This window comes from Homo sapiens, chromosome 5 (assembly GCF_000001405.40).
Source record: "Homo sapiens chromosome 5, GRCh38.p14 Primary Assembly".
NCBI classification, from domain to species: Eukaryota; Metazoa; Chordata; class Mammalia; order Primates; family Hominidae; genus Homo; species Homo sapiens.
Window position 1 is genome coordinate 139583270 of NC_000005.10, and position 14041 is coordinate 139597310.

The 14041-nt window shown below is 43.4% G+C and overlaps 1 protein-coding gene across 4 annotated transcripts in view; it reads left to right on the top strand.

The window, feature by feature from the left end:
• The window catches only part of UBE2D2 (ubiquitin conjugating enzyme E2 D2), a 102195-nt gene that overhangs the window by 57030 nt on the left and 31124 nt on the right, over positions 1–14041 (top strand). The window contains exon 1 of one of the 4 annotated variants that reach the window (XM_047417690.1): positions 2147–2340. The exons of the other annotated variants lie outside the window; for them this stretch is intronic. Within the exon in view, the coding sequence (XP_047273646.1) occupies positions 2239–2340 (102 nt within the window). The 5' untranslated portion in view covers positions 2147–2238. Of the gene's footprint in view, positions 1–2146; positions 2341–14041 lie in introns of those variants that run through there. 4 annotated transcript variants of the gene reach the window in all.

The window sequence follows — 14041 nt, forward strand, 5'->3', positions numbered from 1 at the left end:
CGGCCAATAACAATGTATTCTTAAAAATTGCTGAGAGTAGATTTTTTAAGTGTTTTCACTACCAAAAGAAGTAAGTATGTGAAGTAAATAAGTATGTGAGGTAATACATACGTTAATTAGCTCAATTTAGCCATTCTACAATGTATTCATATTTCCGAACAACATGTTGTGCATGACAAATATATACAATTTTGTCAATTTAAAGAAGTTGGCCAGGTGCAGTGGCTTACGCCTGTAATCCCAGAACTTTGGGAGGCTGAGGTGGGTGGATCACCTGAGGACAGGAGTTCGAGACCAACCTGGCCAACAAGGTGAAACCCTGTCTCTATTAAAAATACAAAAATTAGCTGGGCGTGGTGTCAGGTGCCTGTAGTCTCAGCTACTCGGGAGGCTGAGACAGGAGAATTGCTTGAACCCAGGAAGTGGAGGTTGCAGTGAGCTGAGATCATGCCACTGCACTCTAGCCTGGGCGACGGAGCGAGACTCCATCTCGAAAGAAAAAGAAGTTGTGAAATGAACAAAGGATAGTTAAAGGTAAAATAGGAAAGGTTCTTGAATGAATAGAGAATATGGTCATATGCCACATAATGACATTTTGGTCAATGACAGATGATATTATGACAGTGGTCCCATAAGATAATGGAGCCAGAAAATTCCTGTTGCCTAGTGACATAGCTCTTGTAGCGCAATTCCTTTTTTGAAAAAGTAAATTAAAAAAATAATAAGTTTATTATAGCCTGAGTGTACAGTGTTTATAAAGTCTGCAGTAGTGTACAATAATCAGTAATGTCCTAGGCCCTCACATTCATTCATTACGGACTCATCCAGAGCAACTTCCAGTCTTGCAGACTTTGTTCATGATGAGTGCCCTATAGAGGTGTGCCATTTTTTTACCTTTTTTTCCTCATGTTTTTACCATACCTTTTCTGTTTAGATATATTTAGGATACACAGATACTATTGTGTTATAGTTGCCTGCAGTATTCAGCACAGTAATATGCTGTATAGGTTTCTAGCCTAGGAGCAATAAGGCTGTATACCATGTGGCCTAGGTTATACCATCTCGGTTTGTGTAAGTACACTTTGATGTTCCTACAGCTACACATTTCTCAGAATGTATGCCTTTCGTTAAGTTTAGCATGACTATATTCTCTTCATAACACATTTCCATCTCAGTGGTTGCTAAAGTACTCAAAGAAACTCCTTGTTCTCTCGTGTTTTACACATTTACCCCAAAACACCTTTTTCTTTTTTCTTTTCTTTTCTTTTTTTTTTTTTTTGAGACAAGAGTTTCGCTCTTGTTGCCCAGTCTGGAGTGCAGTGGCGCGATCTCGGCTCACTGCATCCTCTGCCTCCTGGGTTCCAGCGATTCTCCTGCCTCAGCCTCCCTAGTAGCTGGGATTACAGGCATGTGCCACCATACCCGGCTAATTTTTGTATTTTTAGCAGAGACCGGGTTTCACCATGTTGGTCAGGCTGGTCTCGAACGCCTGACCTCAGGTGATCCACCTGCCTCGGCCTCCCAAAGTGTTGGGATTACAGGCGTGAGCCACCGTGCCTAGCCCAAAACACCTTTTTCATTCAAGTTCAGTAATTACATCATAATATATTGTGTATGTCACTATAAACTAACTTTTTTTTTTTTTTTTGAGACACAGGTTCGCTCTTGTTGCCCAGGCTGGAGTGCAGTGGCGCGATCTCGGCTGACTGCAACCTCCATCTCTTGGGTTCAAGTGATTATCTTGCCTCAGCCTCCCATGTAGCTGGGATTACAGGCATGCACCACCACGCCCAGCTAATTTTGTATTTTTAGTAGAGACAGGGCTTCTCCATGTTGGTTAGGCTGGTCTCGAACTCCGCACCTCACATGATCCACCCACCTCAGCCTCCCAAAGTGCTGGGATTACAGGTGTGAGCCACGGTGCCCGGCTGCGTGCAGGTCTTTTTTTTTTTTTTTTGAGACAGAGTTTTACCCCATCCCCCAAGATGGTTGGAGTACAGTGGTGAGATTATAGCTCACTGCAGCCCCAAACTTCTGGGCTCAAGTAATCTTACTGCCTCAGCCTCCTGAGTAGCTAGTACTACAGGAATGTGCTACCACATCCCCGCTAATTTTTGTTGTTGTTGTTGTTAATTTTTTGTAGAGACAGGGTCTCACTTTGTTGACCAAACTGATCTCGAGCTCCTGGGCTGAAGCAGTCCTCCAGCCTCAGCCTCTCAAAGTGCTGGGATTATAGCCATGAGTCCCTGTGCCTGGCCTATAGACTTTCTGTTTCCTGCCGCTATTGGTGATTGGGCTGAATGGACTAGACTTCCTTTTGGAAATTTTTTATGTGCCTTTGTAAGTATTTGAGCACTAATTCTGGTTGGTACCCTACTAAGCATTAATCCACTCAGACATTTGAGTGCCTCTAATGTTCCAGTCTCTACAGAATGCAGTGAAGAATATGATATACCTTGTCTCTCATTCAAGGAGTCATAATTAAACATTAAAGGGGTAGAGAAGAGTTTGTGCAGAGGTTAACTTTTGGTAGTTGTGGATAAATTAAAAATGAAACATAGGGAGGCTGAGGGAGGGGAATCACTTGAACCCGGGAGGTGGAGATTGCAGTGAGTCGAGATTGTGCCACTGCACTCCAGCCTGGCAACAGAGCGAGACTCTGTCTCAAAAAAAAAAAAAAAAAAAAAAAAAAGAAGAAAGAAATACAGCTATATAGTACCATATATGATACTAGATTTGTATAGTACAGTTAATAAAATAGCTTCCTAGGAAAAGGAGGCCCATAGAGAATAAAGAGTTAAGATCTTTTTCATCCTAAGAAAGATAAGTCTATTCTTTTTAATTGCAAATGTTTAATGTTGATGTTTTAAAACCATAACTGCTGTTGTGAAGATAAAGATTATCTGGGGTCTAGCTTAGAATTTTTTTTTTTTTTTAAATCTCAGAATTTCATATTGGTTTCTCCTTTGTGAAACTTTAAACGTGGTAGGCAAATTTTAATGTGTAAACTGCAATTTATTGGATATAAATAACTTATAAGATGGAACTCACTGACTTTAAAACTGCTTTTCCCATAGCTGACTTTTCTTACTTAACAGTGATAGACCTTATTCTCTGACTTCCTGATTCTAACTAACACCCTCCACCCCCTCTTCAAGTGTAGATCTGGTTTTGTATTTAAGGTCAATGATGAGTCTAAAAAAGAATTTTCTTAGGCTGGACACAGTGGCTTACGCCTGTAATCCCCACACTTTGGGAGGCCGAGGCGGGCGGATCACGAGGTCAGGAGATGGAGACCATCCTGGCTAACATAGTGAAACCCTGTCTCTACTAAAAATACAAAAAATTAGCCGGGCGTGGTGGTGGGTGCCTGTAGTCCCAGCTACTCAGGAGGCTGAGGCAGGAGAATGGCATGAACCCGGGAGGTGGAGCTTGCAGTGAGCCAAGATCTCGCCACTGCACTCCAGCCTGGGCGACAGAGCGAGACTCCGTCTCAAAAAAAAAAAGAATTTTCTTTAAAATGTCTATAGTTTTTTGAATTATTTGTTTTATGTTAGGGTAATCAGCATCTTCTTTTGTTAAACAGAATTTTAGTCCGTTTACTTTATCAGCATAAATACAATATAGTGCCTTGTTTAGTTTTTATAAAAAAATCTTTTTAGAGACAGAGTCTGTTGCCTAGGCTGAAGTACAGTGGCACTATCATAGTGTTAACAGGGGTCCTTGCTCCCAGAGCTCTCAAGATGGTGGTGGGCCACTTCCACGATGTTGGCAAGCCTCGTGTTCTCTGACCTGGGGTTGTTGGCCTCATGGATTCCAAGGAATGGAATCTTCGGCCATGCTGTGAGTGTTATATCTCTATTAGAAGCTGTGGGTCACGGAAGAGAACCGTAGAACCCAGTGACTAGTGTTCCAGCTGGATAGGATGAACCCAGGCACTTAGCCATGCAGGAACAATGGCAAGCCTTTAGCCCAATCGGGAGTGGCAATGGGTGCCTCACTGGATCAGGAGCACAGTGGACACCCTGCTCCATCCGGAGGGATGGAAGTCAGCAGCGGCTCTGCGACAGCAGCAAACAGTAGTGGTGGAAAGCGAGCGAAAGCTCAGCTCAAGCCATAACAAACATGGATGAGGCCGTGGTGGCTCACGCCTGTATTCCCAGCACTTTGGGAGGCCGAGATGGGCAGATCACGAGGTCAGGAGATTGAGACCATCCTGGCTAAGATGGCGAAACCCCGTCTCTACTAAAAATAAAAAAAATAGCCGGGCGTGGTGGCGGGCACCACCAGCAACTTGGGAGGCTGAGGCAGGAGAATGGCATGAACTTGGGAGGCGGAGCTTGCAGTGAGCCAAGGTCGCGCCACTGCACTCCAGCCTGGCCGACAGAGCAAGACCCCATCTCAAAAAAAAAAAAAAAAAAAAAACGGACCAGAAGAGTGCGGTTGCAAGATTTAATAGAGTGAAATAGAGTGAAAACAGAGCTCCCATACAAAGGGAGGGGACCCAAAGAGGGTAGCCATTGCCAGCTCAAATGCCTGGGTTTATATCCAGATCATTGTCCCTCCTGCTGTGCTCTCAGGCAGTAGATGATTAGCTATTTCTTTACCTCCTGTTTTTGCCTAATTAGCATTTTAGTGAGCTCTCTGATTGGTCGGGTATTAGCTAAGTTGCGAGCCCCGTATTTAAAGGTGGACGCGGTCACCTTCCCAGCTAGGCTTAGGGATTCTTGGTCTAGGAAATCCAGCTAGTCCTGTCTCTCCATAGCTCACTGCAGTCTCCAACTCCTGGGCACAAGTGATCCCCCAGCCTCAGCCTCCCAAGTGGCTGGGATTACAGATGTGTGCCACCATGCCTGGCTAAATGTTTCTATTTTGTAGAGATGGAGTCTTGCTGTGTTGCCTAGGCTGGTCTTGAACTCCTGGCCTCAAGCAGTCTTACTGCCTCAGCCTCCACTGCACCTGCCTTGCCTTGTTTAGCGTTTTTTTTTTTGTTTTGTTTTGTTTTGTTTTGAGACAGAGGGAGTTTTGCTGTGTCGCCCAGGCTGGAGTGGAGTGGAGTGCAGTGGCGCGATCTCAGCTCACTGCAACCTCCGCCTCCCAGGTTCAAGCTATTCTCCTGCCTCAGCCTCCCAAGTAGCTGGGGCTACAGGAATGTGCCACCATATCTGGCTAATTTTTGTATTGTTAGTGGAGATGGGTTTTACCATGTTGGCCAGGCTGGGCCTTGTTTAGCTTTACTTTCTGGGTTGTGATAGTGTAAGCTTTTAATTTTTATCTAAATATAGTAGTACAACAAATTAGATTATATAAATGACAAATTTTGCTAATATCTTTATATAACATATCATTAAAAGGGATAGGCTTCATGAGAAAAATCTTTTTTACCTAGAGAAAATATTGTAATCCAAAAATTAAGTATTAGCTGTATATTTGATCACTACTGGAAGCTGTCAACATTGTCACACAGATCGTATTTTTAAAGGATTTCCTGGAACCTGATGTAACTTCTTTTGTTTTTTGAGATAGGGTCTTGCCCTGTCACCCAGGGTGAAGTGCAGTGGCTACTCATTGCAGCCTCGACCTCCTGGGCTCAAGTGATCCTCCCAGTTGTAGATCCTCCTGCTTGTAGTTCCAGCGACTCAGCCTCCTGAATAGCTGGGACTACAGGTGCACACCACCATGCCCAGCTGATTTTTAAATGTTTTGTAGAGACAAGGTCTCCCTATGTTGCCCAGGCTGGTCTCAAACTCCTGGGCTGAAGCTATCCTCCCTTGGCCTCCCAAAGTGCTGACATTACAGGCATGAGCCACCACAGTCAGCCTCCCTTGCTTTAATCTTCTTAGCAGAGCGTCTTTGGTTTGCACCTGTAATCCCAGCTACTTGGGAGGCTGAAGTGGTAGAATTACTTGAGCCCAGGAATTCAAGGATACAGTGAGCTATGATCAGGCCACTGCATTCCTGCCTGGGTGACAGAGCAAGACTCTGTCTCTTAAAGAAAAAAAAAATAGCCCGGGCACGGTGGCTCGTGCTTGTATTCCCAGCACTTTGGGAGGCCAAGGTGGGCGGATCACTTGAAGTCAGGAGTTCGAGACTAGCCTGACCAATATAGTGAAACCCTGTTTCTAACAAACAGTACAAAAATTTGCCAGGCATGTTGGTGTGTGCCTGTAGTCCTAGCTACTTGGGAGGCTGAGGTGGGAGAATTGCTTAAACCTGGGAGGTGGAGGTTGCAGTGAGCCGAGATCCTCCAGCCTGTGCGACAGTGAGACCCTGTCTCAAAAAAATAGCCAAAAAACAACAGTTGCATACAGTGTTTGTTTTGATGGAAACAATTATTGAAATGAAGGCTGTCTAGAGTTTTTAAAATACACTTAGAAAGTAGTGATTTATTTAGAAGAAAATGGCTTTAATAGTTGAAACATCTCAATAAATAGCAAAATTAAATAGCAAATCATTTGTTGTATGAAACATTAACTATAGGGTTGACAAGGAAATTATAATTTAAAGTGGGGGTTGGTACTTTGTTTTTTTTTGAGACGGAGTCTTGCTCCGTCGCCCAGGCTGGAGTGCAGTGGCGCAATCTTGGCTCACTGCAAACTCCGCCTCCTGGGTTCACACCATTCTCCTGCCTCAGCCTCCCGAGTAGCTGGGACTACAGGTGCCCGCCACCACACCCGGCTAATTTTTTGTGTTTTTAGTAGAGACGGGGTTTCACTGTGTTAGTCAGGATGGTCTTGATCTCCTGACCTTGTGGTCCGTCCTCCTTGGCCTCCCAAAGTGCTGGGATTACAGGCGTGAGCCATTGCACCTGGCCAGGGGTTGGTACTTTCTAGTTAAAATGTTTACCTAATACTCGTGTATAAAAATATTTACCAAATCGTTGTGATAGTGAAAAATAGGAAATAAAGGATCTGTTGTGGTTTAGACATAGAGTAGCAGAATAAACAGTAGTAGAAAAAGGAACAAGCCAGCCTGGCCAACATGATGAAACCCCGTCTCTACTAACAATACAAAAAATAGCTGGGCGTGGTGGTGGATGCCTGTAATCCCAGCTACCTGGGAGGCGGCTGCAGGAGAATCGCTTGAACCCAGGAGGCGGAGGTTGCAGTGAGCTGAGATCACACCACTGCACTTCAGCCTGGGCAATAGAGCAAGACTCTGTCTCAAAAAAAATAAAAAAAAAAAAAAGAAAGAAAAAGGAACAAACTAGATCTACCTTTGTATCTTTGTGGAAAAATATCTCAATATTTTGAGGGAAAGCAAAGTACAGAAGAGTACATGCCATGTAACGCTATCTAAATAAAAGTTTAAAAACATGTAAACAGTACTGTCTTGTTTATGGACTCTTAGAAAAAAGTATAAAAGAATGCATGGGAATGATAAACACTGTATATTTAGGGTATTAATCAGTTCTGGGAGGGTACACAGGGGACGTAGATCCTAAGATAGTATGGCGATGTTAAGACTGGGCCAAGCTGGGTTGTAAGTTCATGGTGGGTATTTTCTCTTCTTCTTTTTTTTTTTTTTTTTTTTTTTTTTTTTTGAGATGTAGTCTTGCTCTGTCGCCCAGGCTGGAGTGCAGTGGCGCGATCTTGGCTCATTGCAATGTCCGCCTCCCGGGTTCCAGTGATTCTTCTGCCTCAGCCTCCTGAATAGCTGGGATTATAGGCATGTGCCACCATGCCCAGCTAATTATGCATTTTTAGTAGAGAGGGGGGCGTTTCTCCATGCTGGTCAGGCTGGTCTCGAACTCCTGACCTCAGGTGATCCGCCTGCCTCAACATCCCAAAGTGCTGGGATTACAGGTGTGAGCCACTGTGCCCAACCTATGGTGGGTATTTTCTTTTTCTCTCTCTCTTTTTTTTTTTTAAGACGGAGTTTCGCTGTTGTTGCCCAGGCTGGAGTGCATGGTGCAATCTCGGCTCACCATAACCTGCACTTCCTGGGTTCAAGCAATTCTCCTGCCTCAGCCTCCCAAGTAGCTGGTATTACAGGCATGCACCACCACGCCCAGCTAACTTTGTGTTTTTAGTAGAGACAGGGTTTCTCCATGCTGGTCAGGCTGGTCTCAAGCTCCCGACCTCAGGTGATCCACCCACCTCAGCCTCCCAAAGTGCTGGGATTACAGGCATGAGCCACCGCACCTGACCCATGGTGGGTATTTTCTATACTTTTAGTTGCTTTGAATCTTTTTAGAGGGAATACACAGTTTAATCTCAGATAAGCTTACCATGTCTGCTTATAGTTAGTTCAGGGAGAGATTGATATTGATACATGTTTCCATCGGTTTGTCTGTCTTTATACTAGAAGGCAACAATATTAAGAGAGAAATAGAAAATGAGAAAATGAGAGTGCTAAGGGATTAAGTCTATCAGCTGCAGATGATTTGATTTGTCAAATTATGTCTTTCAAACTCATGTAAGTTAATGAGTTACTAATATTTCCTGAGTTTTAAAAACTCATAATTTTAAAATATGTAAGCAGTTGTTTTTAAATATTAGCTTAAGTGTTATGCTGGGAACATAAGCAAGTAGTAAAAATTAAATTGTTTCTGTTGCAACCCTAGTTAAGATAGGAGTGAGGCAGGGAGAATGCAGGTACTATAGTAATGACAGACTGCTCCCCTTCAATCTGTCTTGAAAACCTGGGGCCGGGCGCGGTGGCTCATGCCTGTAATTCCAGCACTTTGGGAGGCCGAGGCGGGCGGATCCCTTGAGGTCAGGAGTTCTCAAGACCGGCCTGGACAACGTGGTGAAACGCCATCTCTACTAAAAGTACAAAAATTAGCCGGGCCTGGTGGCGGGCGCCTGTAATCCCAGCTACTCGGGAGGCTGAGGCAGGAGAATTGCTTGAACTTGGGAAAGACAGGTTGCAGTGAACCAAGATTGCTCCACTGCAGTCTAGCCTGGGCGACAAAGCAAGACTCTGTCTTACAAAAAAAGAAAAAGGAAAAAAATGAAAACCTGGAACACACCTTGGCCTTCTAAGTCTCATCTCTTTTTCCAGTTTGTGCCATTTTGCCCTTTGCCCTCCCGTGCTTTCCCCTCAAATCTTCTTGGTAGTGAGTTTTCTAGTATCACCTTTTATCTCTGATGCTTTTTAACTCATCAGACATAAAAGTAATGAGCTCTGGTGTGCATTATAATTCCTTGAGGCCTTGTTAGAACAGTTTGGCTCCACCTCAGAGTTTCTGACCTGGTAGTTGTGGGGTAGAGCCTGTGAATTTGCATTTCTAATAAGCTTCCTTGTGATGGTGATCCTGCTGTGTCAGTATCTCAGTTTTGAGAACTACTGGTTTAACTGTTGTTTCTTTGCAGTTCAGTAATCTTTTTTTTTTTTTTTTTTTTTTGAGAGATGGAGTCTTGCTCTGTTGCCCAGATTGGAGTGCAGTGGCACGACCTCGGCTCACTGCAACCTCTGCCTCCTGGGTTTAAGCGATTCTCCTGCCTCAGCCTCCCGAGTAGCTGGGACTACAGGCACGTGCCACGATGCCCGGCTAATTTTTTGTATTTTTAGTAGAGATGGCGTTTCACTGTGTTAGCCAGGATGGGTCTCGATCTCCTGACCTCGTGATCTACCCACCTTGGCCTCCCAAAGTGCTGGGATTACAGGCATGAGCCACCACGCTTGGCTGCATTTCAGTAATCTTAAAAGAGTTTCAGTAATCTTAAAAGAGGTTCAGCTTAATTTCCCAAATTAACATGATTCTCAGACATTTCTTTTTTCCTTTTTTTTTTTTTTTTTGAGGCAGAGTCTCGCTCTGTTACCCAGGCTGGAGTGCAGTGGTGTGATCTCGGCTCACTGCAACCTCCGCCTCCCGGGTTCAAGTATTTCTCCTCCCTCAGCCTCCTGAGTAGCTGGGACTACAGGCAAGCGCCACCACGCCCAGCTAACTTTTATATTTTTAGTAGAGACAGGGTTTCACCACGTTGGGCAGGCTGGTCTCTATCTCTTGACCTTGTGATCCGTCCACCTCGGCCTCCCAAAGTGCTGGGATTATAGGCATGAGCCACTGCACCTGGCCGATTCTCAGACATTTCTAACTTGTACATTTCTAATATTTTAGATCCAGATTTAAAGAACCATGGTACAGCAGAACACTCAAGTCCTTACCCTTGGGTTAGATACTTTGTATTTTGTTTTCTTATAAAATTGGGAATAGGTCTAAATGATCTCTTATGACCCTGAAATTTTATATATACATACATATTTTAATATATGTTTTAATATGTAAAATATGTAACAATGTATACATTGTTATATATACATTGTTATATATAACACACAAATAGGTATTGATGTATGTAATAAACACATATGTAACATGTAACATTAAAAGATATATTAAAATATGTACTTTTTTTTAGAGATGGGGTCTCACTTTGTTACCTAGGCTGGGGTATAGTGGCACGATCCACTGCAGCCTTGAACTCCTGGGCTCAAGCAATCCTCCTACCTCAGCCTCCCAGGTAGCTAGGACTACAGGCTCTCTCCACCATGCTGGGCTAATTAAAAAAAATTTTTTTTGTGGAGATAGAGTCTTACTGTGTTGACCAGGCTGGTCTGGAGCTCCTGGCCTCAAGCCATCCTCCCACCTTAGCCTCCCAAAGTGTGGAGATTACAGACATGAGCCACCGTGCCTAGCCCTGAAATTACAATGCTATGAATCATAATCTTTGTTTAAATATTTTCATAGTGTGATTTTAACCACCAAAGAGCCTCGATTTGTATAGCAATATTCAGACTACTAAAACTTGACTTTAGAGCCATTTTTCTACAAAGTTAATTATAACCTCTCTCAGTTTCCCATCTTGTTCCTTTCACCTTACACCATAGGGTGAGGACCAACAGGGTAAACAAATCTTTCCCATGCTATTTTTATTTTGTTTCATAATTGTTATGATTGGGGAAGGAGGGTGGTTTAAAAATAGCTTGTAAAGAAGCGTTAATTTTTACCAACTAATAGCTTAAGTTGCCTACTCAAGGATATAGTGAAAGGGAAATCTGCACATCCCTTGAAGGATGCCTTCCCCTCAAGGAATTTAGAGGGTTTCTTTTTGCTATAGTGTTGTGATATATATATATGTCTTAGGCTTTCAAAGTTTCAGTGTTCTACTTTAATTATCTGTTTTTTTTCTTTTTTTCCTTAAAAAATTTTGTTTTTTTGAGACACAGTCTCTATTGCCCAGGCTGGAGTGCAGTGGCATGATCTCTGCTCACTGTGGCCTCTGCCTCACGGGTTCTAGCGATTCTCCTGCCTCAGCCTCCTGGGTAGCTGGAATTAGAGGCACACACCACCACACCCGACTAATTTTTGTATTTTTAGTACAGTCCAGGTTTCACCATGTTGGCCAGGCTGGTCTTGAACTGCTGACCTCAGGTGATCCACCCACCTCGACCTCCCAAAGTGCTGGGATTACAGGTGTGAGCCACCGCACCCGGTCAATAATCTTTTTATAAATTGAGAATGTTCTACTTTAACTGTCAAAGTTCCTTACCCCATCACTTTTTTCTAAACATAATTATATATACATTCCTGCCTCAGTATCCATGAAAGGTTGGTCCCAGGTCCTTCCATGGATACCAAAATCTACAGATGCTCAAGTCCCTGATATAAAATGGCATAGTATTTGCGTATAACCTGTACACATCTTCCTGTATACTTTAAGTCATCTCTAGATTACTTATAAAACCTAATACAGTGTAAGTGCTCTGTAAATAGTTGTTATGCTGTGGTGTTTAGGGAATAATGACCAAAGAAGTCTGCACATGTTCAGTACAGACATCATTTTTTCCCCAGTGTATTTGACCCACAATTGGTGGAACTCATAGACACAGAGGGCTGGCTGTACTTTATTTCCCTATTGTTCTTTCTCATAAAATAGAAAGTTGAAATTAATGTATACGTTTAAAGCCAACTGTTAAAACACAGCCTTATATATTTGGGTATTATTTTTTTCTGCCCACATGTTCCGACTAGATCGATGCCTTTATTAAATTTTAAGATTCAACTTCAGTTTTCATCATGATGTAGAGATATCAGTTTTATAGATTGTATGTTTATTTGCCATAATTGGGTTTTCACTATTTAGATTACACCCCAAATGACAGTTTTTTTTTTTCCTTGAGTCGGAGTCTCGCTCTTGTTACCCAAGCTGGAGTGCAGTAGCACGATGTTGTCTCACTACAACCTCTGCCTCCTGGGTTCAAGCGATTCTCCTGCCTCAGGCTCCTGAGTAGCTGGGATTATAGGAGCCCCCACCACGCCTGGCTAATTTTTGTACTTTTAGTAAAGATGGGGTTTCGCCATGTTGGCCAGGCTGGTCTCGAACTCCTGACCTCAGGTGAGCCACTGTGCCCAGCCATGATGACAATTTTTAACAGCTATTTTAATCCACACTTACAGTCAGGATAATTCTTGCACAGACCCAGTTGGTTAAAAAAAGAAAAAGAAAATTTTAAAGGGTAATTTATTTTTCAAATGGGCAATATACACACTTTTATAAAATTCAAAATGTGTAAAAGCAATATATATAGTTCTCATTCTCACCCCTAAGCTTTCCTTCCTAAAGGCAATTATTTATTAACTAGTTTCTTGTGGGTTTTTTTTTTGTTTTTTGTTGTTTTTTTTTTTTTTTTTTTGAGACAGAGTCTCACTCTATCACCCAGGCTGGAGTGCAGCGGTGAGATCTGGGCTCACTGCAACCTCCGCCTCCCTCGTTCAGGCAATTCTCCTGCCTCAGCCTCCCGAGTAGCTGGGACTACAGGCGCGCGCCACCATGCCCGGCTAATTTTTGTATTTTTAGTAGAGATGGGGTTTCAGCATGTTGGCCAGGCTGGTCTCGAACTCCTGACCTCATGATCCGCCCACCTCAGCCTCCCAAAGTGCTGGGATTACAGGTATGAGCCCCTGTGCCTGGCGTTTCTTGTGTATTCTTGGGAGATATTTTATGCACATGTAAAGATGGATAGTTACGTGCTTTTTCTTTTTTAAAAAAGATCTGTTTCTGAATCTGAATGTCCTGTGTGTGTGTATGTGTGTGTGACAGAGTCTCGCTCTGTCACCCAGGCTGGAGTGCAGTGTCACAATCTCAGCTCACTGCAACCTCCGCCTCCTGGGTTCAAGCGATTCTCCTGCCTCAGCCTCCCCGGTAAATGGGATTACAGGTGTGCGCCACCACACCCAGCTAATTTTTGTATTTTTTTTAGAGATGGGGTTTCACCATGTTGGTCATGCTGGTCTCGAAGTCCTGACCTTGTGATCCACCCGCCTTGGCCTCCCAAAGTGCTGGGATTACAGGTGTGAGCTACCGTGCCCAGCCCAAATGTACTTTTAAGAATAAAAAACTGGCCAGGCACTGTGGCTCACACCTGTAATTCCAGCACTTTGGGAGGCTGAGGCGGAAGGATCGCTTGAGTCTAGGCATTAGACACCAGCCTGGGAAACATAGTGAGACCTTGTCTCTGCATTAAAATAATAATAATAATAATAATAGGCCAGGTGCGGTGGCTCACTCCTGTAATCCCAGCACTTTGGGAGGCCGAGGTGGGCAGATCACGAGGTCAGGAGATCGAGACCATCCTGCTAACACGGTGAAACCCCATCTCTTCTAAAAATACAAAAAAAATTAGCCCGGCGTGGTGGTGGGCACCTGTAGTCCCAGCTGCTCAGGAGGCTGAGGCAGGAGAATGGCGTGAACCCGGGAGGCGGAGCTTGCAGTGAGCCAAGATCGTGCCACTGCATCCAGCCTGAGCAACAGAGCAAGACTCCATCTAAAAAAAAAATTACATTAAAAAAAATAATAAACAACTTTGAGATAGGGTATTACAGTAACATTTAGTGTACAATTTGAGTTTTGACAAATATAGTTGTCCAATCTCTACCAAAATAATGATTTTGAACATTTCTATCACTCCTCAAATTTTCTTCATGTCTCTTTTATAGTTATTCCCCCCTCCAACTCCCTCCAGCCACTGGAACCATGGATCTGCTTTCTGTCACTATAGTTTTGCCTGTTCTAGAATGTCATATAAATGGAAT